At 41.0% G+C, this 20,370-nt stretch overlaps 1 pseudogene, besides 2 other annotated features; it reads left to right on the top strand.

Moving 5' to 3' along the window:
* Positions 8,585–9,162: an enhancer, noted in NCBI's record as "OCT4-NANOG-H3K27ac hESC enhancer chr10:112313795-112314372 (GRCh37/hg19 assembly coordinates)". NCBI's record gives its function as "activates a minimal SCP1, AML or CMV promoter by ChIP-STARR-seq in naive and primed H9 embryonic stem cells {active_cell/tissue: H9 hESC(naive and primed)}" and the evidence as "EXISTENCE:reporter gene assay evidence [ECO:0000049][PMID:30033119]".
* Positions 9,163–9,740: an enhancer, noted in NCBI's record as "OCT4-NANOG-H3K27ac hESC enhancer chr10:112313217-112313794 (GRCh37/hg19 assembly coordinates)". NCBI's record gives its function as "activates a minimal SCP1, AML or CMV promoter by ChIP-STARR-seq in primed H9 embryonic stem cells {active_cell/tissue: H9 hESC(primed)}" and the evidence as "EXISTENCE:reporter gene assay evidence [ECO:0000049][PMID:30033119]".
* RPL7P35 (ribosomal protein L7 pseudogene 35) lies at positions 12,326–13,153 on the top strand (annotated as a pseudogene).

Below are 20,370 nucleotides of genomic sequence, written 5' to 3'. Positions count from 1 at the left end.
TACAATTTGGGGCTTATATAACCCAAATGGAGTTTGAGACCAGCCTAGCCAACATGGCAAAACCCCATCTCTGCTAAAAATACAAAAATTACCCAGGCATGGTGGCCTGCAACTGTAATCCCAGCTACTAGGGAGACTGAGGCAGGAGAATTGCTTGAATCTAGGAGGCGGAGGTTGCAGTGAGTTAAGATCACACCACTGCACTTCAGCCTGGGTGACAGAGTGAGACTCCATCTCAAAAAAGAGAAAAAAATCCATTTTGACTGTGTGCTCATTGGTCAGGGAAATTGCCGCAGGATGGGTTTATGGACCTAGTGCAACGAATGTGAAACAGACTTGAGCCAGGACTTCATGTATCACCTGGCCTTTGTACACCTCCACTGGATCAGGGGAGCCATAAACATGTTTGAGCTCAGTGTCAGCTCAGATCCTATGTCCAACAGCACTCAAAAGATCTGGGTGTTCCCCTTTTCCTAGGGTTCAGTTACTCTGTTAAGTTTTAGGGTCAGATTGAAAGAAATGATACTGAATATACCCAAGGAGAAAATACACCTTCCTTGGGACTCAGCTTCCCCTTCAGTTGATGGGCTGTGGTGTGAGATCTGCCTCCCGTACATAAACTGGATGAGGGGTTGAGACTTTCCATTGCAGGGACTGACATCAGCTTGTGCTCGCTCAAGCCTAATCTAATTTGGTATGTAAGTGAAGATGTACACACCGTCACTGGCTGCCAACTTATCTTACTCCTAGAACAACATGGTCTATGAACCATAGCCACAAACCCCTATGGGTTATAGACTTAAACACGTCCTAAGACAAAATTATAATGAATTTAGTTTAAAGATCTTAATTGGCTTTACTTGTGATTCTAGAATCAAGCAACACCTCATTCTATGAAAAAGAATGCACATTCTGGTGAGTTGAGCAGAAGATCATGGCTTTCTAGATAGAAAAGGGCTGAGGAAAGCAGACAGAAAACAAAACACAGCTGTTTCAAAGTTGCTCTCCTTGTAAAGGTTAAAGCAGAGGAAGCTTCCTCATCATGCTGGCTAAAACAGGCCTATTTGGGAATTTGGCTATTTTCTCTCTCTCTTGATTTCTTGAAAGTTCAGATAAACAACTTAGTTTTGGCATGGTGTTGTGGAACTTCAATATGAGTAAATCCATTTTGGTTTGGTCTGTTGGGTCTAGTGCAGGAGCTCCATGAAAACCAATGACTTTCTATAAATTTTATTTAGCAAACCTAGGAGCTAAAACTACAAGACCCCCAGATGGAAACATAGGAGTAAATCGTTGTGACCTTGTGTTGGCAGTGGTTTCTGTAATGCATTGCCAAAGCAAAGTAACACACACAAAGATTAATTGTACTTCCTCAAAACTGTTGTTCACTAACAGAAGTGAAAAGATATAGACTGGGAGAAAATATTTGCAAATTGTATACCTGACAATTTACGTGTGTGTGTGTGTGTGTGTGTGTGTGTGTGTGTGTGTGTGTATATATATATCCAAAATATATAAAGAACTCTCACAACTCAACAATAAAAGACAAACAACCCACTTTAAAAATGGGCAAAAGATTTGAATACACATTTCTCCAAAGAAGATAAACAAATGGCCAATAAACGTGTGAAAAGATGCTCGACATCATTAGTCATCAGAGGAATGTCAATCAAAACCACAGTCAGATACCACTTCATACCCACTAGGATGGCTAAAATAAAAAGGCAGACAATAACAGGTGTTGGCTGGGATATGGAGAAATTGAAAGCCTCGTATGTTGCTGGTGGGATTGTAAGATGATGCAGCCACTTTGGAAAACATTTAGGCACTTTCCAGAATAGGAAAATCCACAGAGACAGAAAACAGTTCAGTGGCTGCCTGGGGCTGGGGATTGGAAGGGAAGGTTTGAAAATGGAGTACAGGTTTGTTTTTTAGGGGAGGAAAGGGAGTGTTGAAAATATCCTAAAATTATATTGTAATGATGGTTGCATGACTTCTTGAATATAGTGAAAATAACAACTCCATATTTTAAATGGGTAAATTTTATTGTATGTGAAATATATCTTAATAAAGCTGGAAAAACCTAGGAAAATATTTCAACAGTGAATCTTTGAACCATACCGATACTTAGACCATGTACAGATGATAATGTGTAGATTATCTAAGTCATTCTTGAACTATTTCATAAAATATAACAGTGCTGTATATAATTGAAATACATCATAATTTCAAATGTGCTATTGAAATCTCAGGTTTAGATCGTCTTTACACAAAGCTTCAGCTATTTAGATTAATGCAGAAATCCAAATTCTGGCATAGATTCAAATATGCCAGGTTCCAGATTCCCAATTTTTCACTCAGTAGTAACTGTATCACTAGAAAGTTAAACACAAAACTACATTATTTAACAGTAACGTAAGCTGATACATTTTCTGGTTTAAATTATCTTTTATAATTTAAAAGATATTTAATACAAAATCCCTAAATCTAGTATAAGTATTTTTGGGAGAAAGCAATGAAATGCAAAAAACAAGTTACTAGGAAAAGGGAGGTTTGGCCAGGCATAGTGGCTCATGCCTGTAATCCCAGCACTTTGGGAGGCCAAGGTGGGTGGATCACGAGGTCAAGAGATCGAGACCATCCTGGCCAACATGGTGAATACCCATCTCTACTAAAAATATAAAAATTAGCTGGGCATGCTGGTGCACACCTGTAGTCCCAGCTACTCAGGAGGCTGAGGCAGGAGAATCGCTTGAGCCCGGGAGGCAGAGGTTGCAGTGAGCCGAGATCGTGCCACTGCACTCCAGCCTAGGCAACAAGAGCAAGACTCCATCTCAAAAAAGAAAAAAAAAAAAAAAAAGAGACGTGAACTACAGACACATGCCGTGACGTGGCTGAATCTCCAAAATATTATATTGAGTGTGGCCGGGGGCGGTAACTCATGCCTGTAATCCGAACACTTAGGGATGGAGAGGTGTAAGGAACGCTTGAGCCCAGAAGTTTGACACCAGCCTGGGCAACATTGCAAGACCCCATTCTCCACAAAAAGGAAAAAATATATGTATTCTACTGAGTGAAAACAGCTTTCCCCTGATGAATACACACTGTGTAATTCTATGTATATGAAGTTCTTGAACAGGTGAAAAGCATCTATGGTGGAAAAAAATCAACTCTGTCTGACAATGAGGGCATATAGGTTAAAAAAAATCAGAAAAGTGATAGCTTCAGGGAGAGTTGGAGAGAACCAGGAAGGAACATAGGGAATTTTCTGAGAGCTGATGATAATGTTCTGTATCTTTATAGAGATTTGGATTCCACGATTTATGCATTTCTCAAAACTCAGTTAAGAATTTTGGAGGAGCTTCTGAAACCTTTTAGGGGATGGGCAGTTACTCTGTGATTCTCCCTGAGCATGTGCATGTTAAATGAATTTGTATGCCTTTTCTCTTATTAATCTGCCTCGTGTCAGTGATTTTCCAACCTCCAGGGGGGCCAGAGCCTTGGCCCCTATACCTCTCATTTCTGGACATCCAGTAACTTGGATGCTTGCAATGAAATATGTTTTTGGCAACCTTTATTTTAATATCCAGCATAACTGAAGTAGAAATTATTCCATTTCCAACCTCCCACAGACTGTTACATGAGACTCACCTAACCCTGGATCTAAAATTCTTGCAGTTCTTCTGAATGGTACACAGAAATACTAGAATGTTTATAAAGGAAAAGACATTGATGAGGGAAAAAACACCTTGAGTTATGGGGAAAAGAAAAGAGCACAAAACCTGGAGAGTCAAGAAGCTGGAGTTCTCAACTTTCCTGAGCCTGGGTTATATCAGCTCTAAAATGGGGGAAAAAAAATCTGCCTCACATGTTTTCTGTGGGTTGAAATGAGATGAGGAAGGTAGAAGACCCTAGAAACAATGACTGGCCCCATCGTAGACTCTTGGTCAGCGTGGTTGAGTCACAGTCCTGGTGGGGTGAAGTGGGGTCAGGTAGGAAAGTGACTTGGAAGGTGTCTGCAGACTGAGGTGGATTTGGGTTCACGAAGAGGAAGGATGAAGGTATTTCAGCAGAGGAGAACCACTCACCTGAAGGCACTGAAGTGAGTAGGAGCCGGTGGTGTGTGTTAAAAATCCTATCTAAGGCCAGGTGCTGTGGCTCATGCCTGTAATCCCAGCACTTTGGGAGGCCGAGGCAGGCGGATCAGGAGGTCAGGAGTTCAAGTAGAAACCCTGTCTCTACTAAAAATACAAAAATTAGGCAGGCGTGGTGGTGTGCACCTGTAATCCCAGCTACTCAGGAGGCTGAATCAGGAAAATCACTTGAACCAGGGAGGCAGATGTTGCAGTGAGCTAAGATCACATCGCTGCACTCCAGCCTCAGCGACAGACACTCCATCTACAAAAAAAAAAAAAAAAAAAATCCTATCTAACGAAATCTGTGACAGCTAATTCAGGGGAATTGCTGGTGGAAACAAGAGTGCAGAGTGATTAGCTGCAGAATTCTCCCTTCCTTCTTTTTTCTTCCCTTGGAGATGAAAGCAGGAGTCTTGCTTTCTGGTGAGGGAGGAATGGCAGGAAAAGCAAACCAGATAAGCCACTCACCTAGTGAGAGAGCCCCAGCCTGGAAATCAGCAACTGGTCCCAGATCTGTCACCTGTGCTGCAGAACCATGGGCATAATGGCTCTGTCTGTGCTTCAGTTTCCCTGTTGGCCATGTGGAAATCATATCCCTTTATTTCTTTAATTCATTTACCAGCGAGTTAAAAAGTAGGAAAACTCCCTAAACTACATGGTTATACAAATTTAAGATGTTACTAGTGCAGAGCCCAGTCTGAGTGAGAAAATATGGTGTTGATGCGGAGAAGTTTGGAAACTGAAAAGTTTGAAGCAACTAGCAATATGGGTTGTTGCTTAAGAAAGAAAAGGAAGCCAGGCACTGTGACTCTCATCTGTGGTTCCAGCTACTTGGGAGGTTGAAGTGGGAGGATCACTTGAGCCCAGGAGTGATCACAGCTTCAGTGAGCTGAGATCGCACCATGCACTCTAGCCTGGGCACAGAGCAAGACCTTGTGTCTAAAAATAGTGATAAAATACTTTTTTAAAGTGAAAAAAATAATTTTGGCCAGGTGCAGTGGCTCAGGCCTGTAATCCCAGCACTCTGGGGGGCCACTGTGGGCAAATTGCTTGAGGTCAGGAGTTCAATACCAGCCTGGCCAACATGGCAAAACTCATCTCTACTAAAAATACAAAAATTAGCTGGGTGTGGTGGTGCTCATCTGTAATCCCAGCTACTCAGTAGGCTGAGGCACGAGAATCACTTGAACCGAGAAGGCAGAGGTTACAGTAAGCTGAGATCGTGCAACTGCACTCCAACCTGGGCTCAAGACTCTGTCTCAAAAAAAAAAAAAAAAAAAGGTGGGGTGTGGTGGTTCATGCCTATAATCCCAGCACTTTGGGAGGCCGAGGCAGGTGGATCATTTGAAGTCAGGAGTTCAAGACCAGCCTGGCCAACATGGTGAAACCCTGTCTCTACTAAAAATACAAAAAGTAGCCACATGTGGTGGCAGGCCCCTGTAATCCCAGCTACTGGGGAGGCTGAGGCAGGAGAATCGCTTGGACCCGGGAGGTGGAGATTGCAGTGAGCCAGGATTGTGCCACTGCACTCCAGACTGGGCAATAAAGTGAGACTCAGTCTCAAAAAAAAAAAAAAAATTAAACTTTTTCGTAGTTTGAACATTTTTATAACATGTTTAGAGATAAAAGTTCTGTAAGATCCTAAACAATCTGGCTCATTTTTACCTCTCTGATCTCGTCTCTTGCTATCTCTCCTTTCAGTTCGAGCCACATTGAAGTGCACCAGGTGTCTCCTACTGCAGGGATTTTGCATTTGCCCCTCCTGAGCCTGCAAGTCTCTTCTCTGTTAGATCTATTTAACATTCTGCCGAATCTTCTGCGGCAAGCCAAATTCTAAGATGGCCCTAAGACGTCTGCCCCCTTGTGGTGCACATCCTGTATACGTTTCTCATTTTGAATGTGGCTGGGACCTGTGACTGTATGATGGGGGACCACTCTTGTGATTAGGTTATGTTATTCATATGTGGCAAAGGAGAACAGACTTTGCAGATGTCATTCAGATCCCTAATCAAGTGACTTTGAGTTAATGAAGAGGGAGATTATCTTCAGTGGGCCTGACCTAATCAAGTGATCCCTTTACAAGAAGGTATCAGAAATGAAGTCAAGTTAGAGAGATTCAAAGCCAGAGATGCTCTCCTGCCGGCCTCCTGCCATGTTGTGGAGAAGGCCATGTGGCAGGGAATGACAGGTGGCTTCAAGGAAAGATTTAGAAAAGAGAGACAAACTCTTTCATCGCTTCTCTCACAGATACCTAGGAGACATTGCAAGACCTCTTTTGGGACTTTAGCATCCCAAAAGTTCTACAGTTCTACAACTGCAAGTAATGGGTTCTGCCAAATCCAGGGAGGTTGGAAGAGGTTCTGAGGCTTGGATGAAACTGCAGCCTGGCTAACACCTTGATTTCAGTCTGATGCCACCGGGCAGAGAGTTGTTACCTGTGCCCAGACTTCTGGCCATATTTCAAAAAAATTCTGAGGCTGTAGACTCTTTCACACAACAACAATGTAGTTGGTGCAATAAAGTACCTGGTGCAATAAAGACTCCAAAGCCAGCAAAGGTGAGGTACAGGGCAAGGGTAAAGTGCACACATGATGCACCTTGATGTCATAGTTTCTCATTGCCCTCCTTATCTCCCCTCTACTGCTATGAGATTCCATGGGAAAGTTCCATCTTGAAGTTAGTTTCAGTTCAGTTTCTCTTATCATCTCAGGAAGGGATCATGGACTGATTTTATCTCTTTGTTTAATTTCTCTGTTATTCCTCCCCACCTCTTAAAAATATTTTTCGCTCTCTTCCTCTCTTTTTTTTTTTCTTATGTGTGCCCTATCCGTTTTCACTCTTAGGCTGGACAGACTTTCTATGGATACTTCCCAGTCTCATGAATAAGAAAGATACCTCACTATTGCCCAGTTCCTATTCAATTCTCATGGTACCCAAGAGATAGAACTGGCACCCCAGAGATGTTCCCAAATTACAGTTCTGTCTTGGTGATGCCTGGGACTGTCAAATCATCCAAGAGAAAACCTAGGACACTCCCATCCTGGAAGATGGAAGAAGAACATTTGTGAGAAGATGAGATTTAGAAAAAAGAGACAAATTCTTTCATTGCTTCTCTCACAGAAGAGAGATACCTAGGCGACATTGCAAGACCTCTTTTGGGACTTTAGAGAAAAACCTTACAAAGGAGCCTTTTCAGATGCTTGTAACAAGCCCCCAAAACTAAAGACCAGACTCATACCTCACAGGAAATACAGGTCCTCAGCCCTCCACTGAATGATGCCAGGAAAATTGTCATTATTGGAAAAACCCAGTAATTTTAAAAAGAAGTGCCCAAGAAACTCTCAATAACCTTCATTTTGCTTCTCCACTTAAAATTAACTTTGTGCCACCATAATCTTCAAATTTTTATTTTAAAAAACTCAATTCTCATATGAGCATGTGTCATAGTTTGATTTAACTTATTAATGAGGGAATCACTAAAATGACAAAGCTGGTTTAAAAGAGAATGTAAGAAACTCAAATTTAGGCATTGGAAAAAAAGAGTGCTGAAAACACACAAAACTAGTAAATATTCTACAGCGTGATAAACTATAACCTTTAAGGTTATCTTTTTCTAAGGGTCAAAAGAAATTCATCATACCGTATCAGTTTTCTTCCATTTTCTACAGCATTGTAAACCATCTGGGCCTTAAGCAATCGTGAATACTGAGTCATTAATTATATTGAAAGGCCATGCAAATTTTTGTTGTTGTTGTTGTAGTTCCAGGTTTTGCGTTACTTTTCTGAATAAGGACCTTGAGAATAAAAGAAAAATTAGAGAGAAACTTTCTTGGTAACCTTAAACATTCCCTAAAAACTAAAGACCAAACCCTTATACCCTTGGAAAGGGTTACAATAATTCTGTCTCCACTGAGCTAATCACAGTAGGAAAATTGCAACTATTATGAAAAGCTGATCACTGGAAAAATAATTGCCTGAATAAACAAACCTTGGTAATCCTCCATATATTGCTCTTATACTTGTACCAAATCCTCACAGCCTTCATTTTCCATGTAAATGCAATCACAAAATATGTGGCCTTTTGTGTCTGACTTCTTTCACGTAGCATAATGTTTCCAGGACTCATACATGTTGTAGCATGTATCAGTTATCTCTCCCCTCCTCTCTTTTTCTTTTTCTTCTTTTTCTTTTTTTCTTTTTCTTTTGATGAGGTCTTGCTCTGTTACCCAGGCTGGAGTGCAGTGGTGCTGTCACAGCTCACTGCAGCCTCAACCTACTGGGCTCAAGCAATTCTTCCACTTCAGCTCCTGAGTAGCGGGGATTACAGGTGCATGCCACCATGCCCAGATAATTTTTGTGTTTTTTGTGGGGACAGGATCTCACCACATTGCCCAGCCTGATTTCGAACTCCTGAGCTCAAGCAATCCAGCTGCCTCAGCCTCCCAAGTGCTGGGATTACACATGTGAGCCACCATGCCCAGCCTTCGCCCGTTTTTTATTTAGGTTATTTCCTTTTATTGTTGAGTTGTAAGAATTCTTTATATGTTCTGATCCTAGACCCTTATCAGGTACATGATTTGCAAATATGTTCTCCCATTTCTGTGGATTATCTTTTTACTTTGTTAATAATGTCATTTGAAGCACATACATTTTTAATTTTAATATAGTCTAACTTATCTGGTTTTTTTTCTTTGGTTGCTTGTGGTTTTCCTATCTGAGAAGCCATTGCTTAATATTTGGTCCAGTTTTTATTACTGGTATCTGTGAAAGGCTTCATCTGACTACTTCACACTGCCTGGAAAATACTTCTATGAGAAATACTCCCAAGACTTCATTCAGGCCTTTGCTCAATTGTCACCATATAAGGAAGGTCGCCTCTGACCACCCTATCTAAAGTAACACCACCCCTTGGTCACTCGGCAGATTTTATATTGCTTTGTCTTTCTTCAGAGCACTCACTGTGTGACACAGGGAGCCATTTTCACTGATTGCATTACCAGCCCCCCACTGGAATGTGTGCTCCTGGAGAGTAGGAATTTTGGTTTACTTTGTTAACTGCTGGTTACTCAGTGCCTAGCACAGACTTGTGATAGGTGATCAATAATCATTTATTAAATTAGTGATTCCCCACATCCTAACCAACACAATGTTATCAAACTTTTTGGTCTTTGCCAATCTGAAACGTGGAAAATGGCATTTTAATGTCTTTTAATTTGCATTCTTATTCCTGTGAGCGAGGTTTAGCACCTTTTCATACATTTGAAAATCATTTTTATTTCTATCTCTAGAAACACCATTGTTTTCAATAGATGCTATCATAAGAAATATATATACACCCTTTCACAAGAGTAATAGATGTCACAGTAGCGTTTGGTCCTTCTGTACTTTATTAGAGTTTAAAAAAGTGCCTGTTGAACGAATGAAGCATGAATACCAAAAGCACAACAGCTAGTTGCTGAAGACAGGCTCCATAAAAGTTCTTGATGTTTAAAAGGAGTCTTCATAATTGAAGGGGATCGGCTGGGCGCGGTGGCTCACACCTGTAATCCCAGCACTTTGGGAGGCCGAGGCGGGCATATCACCTGAGGTCAGGAGTTCAAGACCAGCCTGGTCGACATGGTGAAACCCCTGTCTCTACCAAAAATACAAAAAATTAGCCAGGTGTGGTCGTGGGCACCTGTAATCCCAGCTATTCAGAAGGCTGAGGCAGGAGAATCACTGGACCCGGGAGGCAGAGGTTGCGGTGAGCTAAGATCACACCATTGCACCTCAGCCTGAGCAGCAAGAGTGAATCTCCGTCTCAATAATAATAATAATAATAATAATAGTAATAATAATAATCGAAAGGGATCTGAAATGTGCAGGTTACTCAGCATCTGCCCATGGACTTTATTTTAGTTTCCTCCACAAATGAAGCCTGACGTCAGGATTTGGGTGCCGGTGGTTTAAATGGGAGGAGATCCCAGGGAACAGAAGTGATGGAGTAGGAAGAGTAAGACAGCGAAGAGAGAAAAGCCAATAACTTATGCTCTGTTGAACCAGTTAGAAGTATGAACACTGAGAATCAAGCCCACTGGGAAACTTCTGAGGAAATGTCAATAGCATACCTGTATTCATCCATTTTCACGCTGCTGACAAAGATATACCCAAGACTGGGTAATTTATAAAGAAAAAGAAGTTTAATGGACTCACAGTTCCACATGGTTGGGGAGTCCTTACAATCATGGTGGAAGGCAAAAGGCATGTCTTACATGGCGGCAGACAAGAGAGAATGACAGCCAAGCAAAAGGGGAAGCCCCTTGTAAAATCATCAGATCTCGTGAGACTTACTACCGTGAGAACAGTATGGGGGAAACCACCCCCCATGATTCAATTATCTCCCACCAGGTCCCTCCCATAACACATGGGAATTATGGGAGCTACAATTCAAGATGAGATTTGGGTGGGGACACAGCCAAACCATATAAATACTTCAGAATTGTCCCACCAAAGCACAGGGACACAGAGGCTCTCGTCCACCAGTTCTCATCTCCCAATGACTGGAGGTTGCCCTCAGAGGTCATTGCACCTCTGCTTGGCTGTGCCGATTTCCTTGGCCTCAGAGAAGGAATGGAGGCAGAAAATCAGGTAGGTGGCATAGCACTTGGGCAGGGAGTCTGTTAACATGCATGAAAGTATCCACAGCCTGTTGTGCTGAGGGCTTGTGTGTAGCCCTTCCTTTGCTGTTCTTTAGACTACCAGTGCTTTTGAATGCTTCCTCATACTTTTGTCTTGTCTCCTCACCTGGATTTCACACACCTTAAAGGTTAGACTGTTGGCTAGTCTAAGGTATATCATACAGTCCCTTGGAATTACATAGTGACTTATACATTTGTTGGTTATTTTTCATTTTTGACAAAGTGGTAATTATGGTTCTGCAGAAAAGGAAGAAAGACATGTTTAAGTGCTTTGAAATTTATACCTACCTGACCTTGCCTTTTGTTGCCCAGGGCACTGAATTTGCCTTCATCCCTGCATTTGTACATCCCAGAAAAGGAAGCCACACAGAACTTATCAGCCCTGGGCCAGATATCCAGGTGAACATTAGCTATAGAAATGCATTGAGCTAAAGAGTTGGAAGTCATGAAATAAAATCTCTGCTATCTGCAGATAATGTCCAAGGTTACAGCTCCTTCTGAACTGCTTTGTTAAGGGGATAAAGGATAGACAGTGAGGGTCCTGATTATATCATCTAAGCTGGTTTTGCGGTCACCATAATAACTTCCCTGGGAAGAAAGCTGGTGGTTCTACTATTTGGAAGGAAAGACTGTGTTTCAGTGCCAAGGCTTGACTCTGGCTAATCAAGACAGTGCTGCTGTGTATGACTGTGTAGACTGCACTGCATAGCTCCTGGGTGCACAATTCCCAGAGTGGTGTGATATGCGGACCCATAGATAAGGATCTCAGATGGAAGCTCCTCAAATGGGAAAGGATTGAGAAAGGAGAGCACTGGGGGGTGTCTATGCTCATTGAATGCTGATGATGCACTTGTCCCTCTCCCCCAGGCTTGGTCCTGAGGAAGATAGTGAAGGCTGGGAATCCGTGTCTGGGAAGTCATCAGCCTACCTTACACTAGTGAGTTAGTGATAATAGTCATAGCATCTACTCTGTACGAGGCTCTATGCTAAACACTTCACATGAGTAATCTCATTTAATCTTTACAAAAGCCCATTTGATAGATGAAAAAACTGAATTAAAATAGGAAATGAAGAGGGCATTAGACTAAGAGAAAGGTGATCCAGCACTTACTCACCACTTAGGTCTTCTTGTCAGCACTATTCAAATTGTGCTCCATAGAACCCTGTAGTCCACAAACTGTTTGTTACCAGTTCATGAGGAGAGCAGTACCTAATTGAAAGCAGGCATTTAGAAACCTTTATAGCAGTTTTACATTCAAGTGCATTAGGGAACCTGTCTCACTGAACAAGGGATAGACCAGTTCAGGTGCTGGCCATGAGCTGTGTGGCAGCAGGACCATGCTACAGTGTGTGGTACTTTAAGGTTAGTCGGTCAACTGAAAGCCAAAGGCATGTAAAAATCTGAGAAAACAAAAGCATTTATTTCTTTTGATATTTTGTTGTTTTTACTTATTACATATAATGTTTTTGTAAAAACTAATTTTTTTTAGTTTATAATTTTAAAATCTTCAGTTTTCTGGGTGGAACCAGGGAGAGTGTTGAAGAGAAGAAAAAGAAGGCTCCTGCTGTGCCAGAAACCTTTAAGTAAAAGTGAAGGCATTTTGCAGAGCTGAAGATCAAGTGCCAGAGAAAAAAGTTTGCCCAAAGGATGCTTCGAAAGGAAGGAAGGAAGCTTATCTATGAAGAAGCTAAACACTATCACTAGGAATATAGACAGATGTATAGAACTGAGATATGAATGGCTAGAATGGCAAGAAAAGCTGGCAACTTCTGTGTACCTGCAGAACCCAAATTGGCATTGATCATTAGGATCAGAGGTCTCAGTGGTGGCAGCCCAAGGGTCCGAAAGGTGTGGCAGCTTCTTTGCCTTGTCAGATCTTCATCAGAAACTTTGTTAAGTTCAACAGTGCTTCAATTTACATGCTGAGGATTGTAGAACCATATATTGCATGAGAGTCTCCGAACCTGAATTCAGTAAATGAACTAGTCTCCAAGTGTGGTTACAGCAAAATCAATATGAAGCAAATTGTCTTGACAGATAACACTTTGATGGCTTGATCTCTTGGTAAATATGGAATCATCTGTGCAGAGGATCTGATTCATGAGGTCTGTGCTGTTGGAAAATGCTTCAAAGAAGCAAATAACTTCCTCAGGCCTTTCAAATTATCTTCTCCATGAGGAGGAATGAAGGAAAAGACCACCTATTTTGTAGAAGGTGGAGATGCTGGCAACAGGGACAACCAGATCAAAAAGCTCCTTAGAAGGATGAACTATGGTGTGTGCCACAATTATTTCTGTAATCTGATCAGTTAATAAACAGTGATTGCTTTCAAATTGAAAAAATAAATAACAAAAATATTAGCTAAATTAGGAAGCAGACTTTCATAATAATTTTTAACTGTAATTTAGAGGTGACAAAGCAAACTTCACTAGACTTGTTTTCATCAAGAAAAGACACACCTTTGCTAATGCACAGCAGCACCAATAGTAAAACAGATGATGTCTATGGAAGTGATTCCAAGGAAATTAAACTACTACGAAAAGAGTTTGTACTAGTTTTACTCAGAAGTATAATTCCTCACATATTGAGTTCAGTTTTGTAGCCATAATTGACACTAATATTCTAAAACTATAGTATGTTATTTGTAGAGATATGCTAGCTAATAAAGCTCATAAGACCATCAACCTTATGTAGCATTTACATAGAAAACAAAAGAAGTAAATTCAAAACCTAAAGAATACCTTGAAAGAATGTTGAATTTAAAAAACTCATAAGAACAGATGTTCAATATTTCACATATAAACATTAGTAATGTATGAGCATCTTATAAAGCAGCATTTGGGGATGCGAAAATTTAAAAAAGAAGACTTTAGCACAAGACTGTATCAAAGATCTTTGAAATTATGGGTGACTGTGGCAAATAAAGTAACTCAAATGTCGTTTTTCATAACTAGACGAATTCAGTAACTAGCTAATGACATGGCAGATTAACTCACAGATACACGGCTAGCAAAGTCGTTTTCATTGCAAGTTATTGAATGCCCACATACTGCTAAAATGACAATTAATGTAGTATATATGCAATTCAAACATAGTGGAAGAATTTTTTTCAGTTTCATTGATGACAAGCACAACTAGTCCTAAATGTATAAAACTATAAAGGATTACACTGTCAAGGAATGTGGTTTAAGACTGCTGTAGGAAGATGCTTTAATGTGCAGCTTCATTGACAGAAAAGCATACTAAGTTTGAAGAATGTAAATCAATGCACTGCTTTTTTTAATCAGGAAAGTTTTACAATGAAAAAATGTTAGCTGAATTAAACAGTGTCTAGTTGTGTAGTTACATAGCAAAAAAATAGTTATGCAAAGGATAATGCATGAAATTCGAGATTATTCTCTTTATTATAATATGTGTTCATATGGAAGCTGATCATAAACAACTGTTGTAGGTGAGATACGATGCTTACTGAAGAGAAAAGTACTATTAGGAATGTTTGACTGTGAAACAAACTCTTAGTGTTCCTAGAAAGTAAAACAAACATCTTTATAAGGTCCCAATGTGGTTTGGGACAATAGGCATGCTTCTTTGTGTGATATTTTTGGCATTTTAAATGCTTTTACTACTTCTAAGCAGGGAGAAAAAATGCAGCATGATTTTCAATGGCAAAGAAGATTGAAGGGCAAAAATGACAGAAGCTTGGAAGAACAGAATATCCAGAGACTGTTACAACATGCCCCATAGTTTAGCAACAATTATCAGTGATGTTAGTGATAATCTTGATATTGCATATCTGTAAAATGTTATGGTCAAACAAGTTATGGGACATTTACATTTTATTTCCATCAAAAGAAGATTCGTGCATGGGAAATTCATAGATCCATAATCTGTTGCTTTCATTGAAAGACAATTTAACTCTACAGGATAAACTGTTGGAACTGGCAATTGAATAATTGACGAATTTTGAAAATACAGAATCATTTGCTTCATTTTGAATAAAAGTGAAAGATGGAAATCCTGAGCTTCCTAAAATTGTCTTAAAATCTCTTTTTCCTTTCCCGTTAACAAAGCTCTGTGAGACTGGTTCTCCACTAACCTCTTATTAAAACAAAATATAGAAGCCAGGTGCTGTGGTACGTGCCTGCAGTCCTTCCTAGCTACAGGCAGGGGATGGGGGTGGCGGAGGGGGGCAGTCCTGAGGCGGGAGGATCGCTTGAGCCCAGGAGGCTTCAGTGAGCTATGATCTTGCCACTGCACTCCAGCCTCAGTGACACAGTGAGATCCCATTTCTAAAATAAATAAATAAGTAAACAAATAAATAAAATAATTATTCTTTATTAAATTACAACAACAACAACAACAAAAATAGAAGCAATCTCATCACACATTCTACTTTGCAAGTAGCATTATAGTCCATTCTGGCTGGGTTAGATAGGTTGGCAAGCCATAACTTGTGTATTTGTCCATTAAGAATGCTCAATATTTATATGCATGGTGTTCATTCAAAGTAGAGAAACACTATTTTACTCAAAATTTTTCATTTAGTTATAATTGCAGAACAACAAAAATTATAAATGCAATAGCAATTTATATATTAATCATATAATACACACATTCAATAAACATGTACAGATTTTGCAATTATTTTTCCCGTTATGTTTATTCTGATTATATTTATTGAAATGCAATTTTGTCTGTTGAATATGATAATAAAATTTGGTTCAATTTTGTATATCTTTGTTTTTTAATGTAATGTGTCCAGTATTAATAATTCATTTTTATTGTACAATGGATTGGTTTGCAGATTAAAATTCTTTTAAAAACTGGTTCTTCGCCAGCCAATTTGAGAAGCACTGTTCTACAGGTCAACTTTATCTGTAAAGTGAGGATGAACTGCCAACTTTGGAGCAATCACAATTTTGGATTATATAAAGTCCAGCGAGTTATCAGAAAAAAAGGGGCCATGTTCAACATCAGCAGGAAAGGCGAATGGTTATTCTGAGTGTCACATCTTCATCTTTACCACTAGAGGGCGGTGAAGAAGTTCTTGTAATTGTGGGATGCATCACAAAGCCAAAATTGCTTGTAAACCGAGAAATTGAAGCACGCAGGAAAAAAATAAAACACAGAGTAAGATCAATTACCCAGTGAACATTTGTTGGTCGCCAATACTGTCCTGTAACACACTAAGACTCAATACAGAGGTCAAAACCCAGGGTCTATTTGTAGCTAAAATTCAAAATAGTAGGTAAAATTGGGATGGACACAAGATTAAAGAGATAGCTTTGCATGATGAAGAGTCCTGGAGATTAGTTGCATAATAACATCAACATACGTTTAAAAATGCTTAAGATGGTAAATTTTGTGTTATGTGTATTTTGCCACAATTTACGGGGGTGGGAGGAAGAGAAAGAGAGAGAGATTGCTTCTTTAGCCTGGCGTGGGCAGGAACTGTCTATACCCAACCAACAGCTCTAGCTCACAAGACGTGGAGAGGAGAGGTGGAGGTACACAGGCCAATGCATCACAGGGGTTGTGGAGCCTTTGCCGTGGGACCCACACTCACACACACACATGCACTTTTATTCTTAGTTCTGCCACATATCTTAGCCCATCACTCTGCCCCAGTTTTTCAACCCCTGAAAAGCTTAGGGAGCTCGTTTGCATAATCAGTTCATTCATTCATTCATTCATGTATTTGCTTAATGTTAACTGAGCACCTACTCTGTTCCAGGCATCCTGTGAGGTGCTGGGGTACAGCTATGATAAGACAGACAACCTCTGCCCTCAACGTGTTTACAGAGAATTGCCTTTTCTAGTTGAGGCCTTGAAGGGTCCTAGGAACTGTTTTTATCTCAAGTCAGCATCTCCTTCAATCAGTGACAAGTAGGCCATTTGGAGCCGCTGTCTCTAAAGTATTCTCTTGAAACCGTAGGAAGACAAGGACACAAGAGGGAGAATAACCACAGAACCACAAAGGGATCCAAGGTTGCCTTGACAACAGGATCAGAGGAAATAGCCAAGCCCTTGAGGTGCCAGGACTGGACTCTGAGCCTGGGCCGACTGTCCATTCAATGTCACCTTTTGACTTTGACAGGACTTCACTGAAGTGAGTCTTTGAAATCCAAAGGAAGAGAGGCCCACGCACTGAGGAACTCATCCCACGTCCATCCCAGCCTTGTTCTGATTCTGGAGGAACACAGGATGTCCTCACTCCAAAGGCTGCCAGAGACTGCTGGAGGCCGCACAGGAAAATAGGCAAGAGTCTGGCTTATGATTCTAACAAGCTTCAGTTAAACTCGGGCTGGGCCTCAGAGTCGCTGTGTAACAACATATGTCTGTCTGAGCCTCAGTTTCTCTATTTGTAAAGTAGAAATAATACTAATAGTATATAGCACCTCAGGGAATGTTATGAGGATGAAATTACATAATAAATGTGAAGTTCTTAGCACAGTGCCTGGCACACAATAAGCACACACTTAATGTTGTTTAAAAAAAAAAAAAGCTGAGCTGGACTCCATCTTTTCAAATGAGAGAACTGAGGCCCAGCAGCTTAGTAATAGTGGAAAGTTGATGAATTGTGGAATTATACCCAGTTTTGGCTCTCCCAGTAGACTTTGGGAAACTCACTTAGTCTCTCTAAACCTCCGTTTTCTCATCTGTGAAACGGAACAACCAGGTTGTTCTGAGGACTACCTGAGTTATGTTAAGCACCTGGCACCAGAACCTGGCATATTGCATTGTCCAGTAAAATGTTCATTTTTTTGTTCCTCTCTGTGGTTGTCCAGAGTCAAACTTGGTTCTAACTTTAAAATTGCAGCCCTCAAGGAGTTCATGCTCACCTTCACAATGCAAGCTTGGAAGTCAAGCAGCTCTCAACTCAAATCCAGTTCCTGACCTTGGGCACATTACTTAGCTTTTTTCTTTCTGCTGCAGTTTCCTAGTCTGTAAAATGAAGATCATAATAGTACCTCCTTCCCAGTGCTGGCATGAGGATTATGTTTTCTTTTGAAGTGTCCCATAAATGTTTATTATTATGTCCTGCAATCATGGCCCTAATCAAGAGGCTCTCAAGTAGATAAGTAGTATGCTTATATTTTGGTTTATTTGTGTACTAGGCTGTTATCAGAGCTGGGATTCACAGAGTTAGACAAGACTCCTGCTCTTGAGCTGCCCACAGTCTAGGAGAAGAGACTTAAGCAATAGCCTCATGACTGTGGTCAAGGGCTTTGATGAGATGCTGGGTGGCCAGTGGTTAAGAATACAGATTCTGGAGCCAGACAGCTGAAGTTTGACCTCAGTCCTGCCACTCTGTGATCTTGTGCAAGATATACTTAACCTCTCTGTGCCTCTATAAAATAAGGATAGCAATAGCACTTGGTTCATAGGGCTATTAGGGAAAGTTCAGTGGTTTCATATCTGCTTAGAACAGGGCCTGGCACATAGTAAGCACTCTATGCAGGCTCCTTCAATGAATAAAAGCTTACATACAGGCCGGATTCGGTGGCTCATGCCTGTAATCCCAGCACTTTGGGAGGCCGAGGCGGGCGGATCACTAGGTCAGGAGATCGAGACCACCCTGGCTAACACGGTGAAACCCCATCTCTACTAAAAATACAGAAAAATTAGCCAGGCGTGGTGACGGGCACCTGTAGTCCCAGTTACTCTGGAGGCTGAGGCAGAAGAATGGCGTGAACCTGGCAGGCAGAGCTTGCAGTGAGCCAAGATCACACCACTGCACTCCAGCCTGGGCGACAGAGCGAGACTCCATCTCAATAAATAAATAAATAAATAAATAAATAAATAAATAAATAAAATAAAAGCTTACATACAAATGACATTGGTAGCATTCAGAGGAGAGAGTATAGTTCTAGAGGAGGAAGTAAGGAAACCCATAAGAAATTGAGTACAGTTTCTATACCTCAGTCCCCCTGGATTTCACTCAAAATATTTCCACCAGCAAAACCTGGAAGGGATCGTGAAGAGTTTTGTGTCAGAGACTCATGGTCTGCAGATAAGGAAACTCAGGCCAGAGAAAGTGGCTTGCCCAGGTGAGGTGGGCAGAATAATAATCCCCCAAATGTCCACACCCTAATTCCTAGAACCTATGAATATGAAACCTTACATGACAAAACTGATTCAGTTCAGGATTTTGAGATGGGGAGATTATCCTGGATCATCTGGAGTGGCCCAGCGTAATCACAAGAGTCCTGATAAGGGAAAGAAGAAGACAGGGGAGTTGGGAAAATAGAGGTGACGACAGAAGCAGAGGTTGGAGTGACACAGGCCAGTGAGCCAAGGCACATGAGTGACCAATGCCTTTGCTTGTACCACATCTCCTTCCTCCGGGGTGCCCTTCCTTTGATCTGAGCTCTCATTTCCTGCTATTTGTCCCAAGGACCAAATTTCCTACTTTGAGCCTTGATAAAATGCTCTTCTCCCCAGTCCACCAATGCTACTAACAGTTATCTCTGGCTGATGGAATTGTGGGAGATTTCAGTTTTTTCCTTTTGGCTTATCAAACATTTTCCATATTCAGTAATTAACGTGATGTATCACCTTGCAGTTGAAAATTATCTATAAAAATAATTAAAAGGAAGTGAGCATTTGGTGATATCTAGTTTGTGCCTGGACTTTTCCATACGTTATCTCATTTACTCTTTAAAACAGCTGTGTGAGTTAGGTGTTATGGTGCCCATTTTATTTGTGGAGAAACTGACACAGACTTTTAGGTAACTTGCCCAAAGTCACATAGTAAGTACTGGAGCCATGATTTCCAACCAATGTCATCTGACCACCCTCTTTTTACTATACCACTAGCCTCCCTCTAAATAATTCCCACGTCCCTTTGTGGTCTTTCTACGTTCTGAGCAACCTTTTGCTTATGCAGTGGTCTCAACTTGCCTCATCCATCAGGAGAGAACAGTAGTGCAGCAGCAGTAATCTTGTTGCTGCTGGACTCAAGGAATTGGCTTATAAACTAACACATTCATTTCCTGTTTCATTATTCCCATTCTTGTTGATTACTTAGAATAAATTGGTCTCTCAGGATCTGATTAGGGCTGTAGGAACTGGTGGATTAACATAGAGCCAGACCCGAGGCCATGCTTGTGGGCTCCGGCTAGCCTGGCTGGTTTCTTGCTCAGCCTCCTTCACTCTGGCCTCCAGTGAAGGGAGTGGGTCATTTGAAAGAAGCTCTATCTTTGGTACATACCAGCAGCTGGATGATGCCCCAGCATATGTTAACCCAGGGCATTGGGAGGAATGTTCAGTTTCCAATGCTCAAGTTGACCAAGGAAAGGTACGTGTCTGACGGGACTCGGTACCCACACCACTTAGCACGGTGCTTGGCATGGAGAAGATATTCCGTCAATGTGGGCTGAATTAATCTGTGGTCATAGGAAATCAGCCAGGTAACTCTCCCTGCCCCTGCCTGTGGGGAAACCTAGAAGAAATTGCTTCTGTTGAGCCCACAGGTACCCTTTGTTTCCTCGTGCAAATTTGGCAGAAAATATATGTGTGTGTTGTGTGTGCATGTATAAACAATGTATTATAT

This window comes from Homo sapiens, chromosome 10, assembly GCF_000001405.40.
Source record: "Homo sapiens chromosome 10, GRCh38.p14 Primary Assembly".
NCBI lineage: Eukaryota > Metazoa > Chordata > Mammalia > Primates > Hominidae > Homo > Homo sapiens.
Note: the sequence above shows the minus strand (reverse complement) of the source record. Positions and strands in the feature narration are given on the sequence as shown.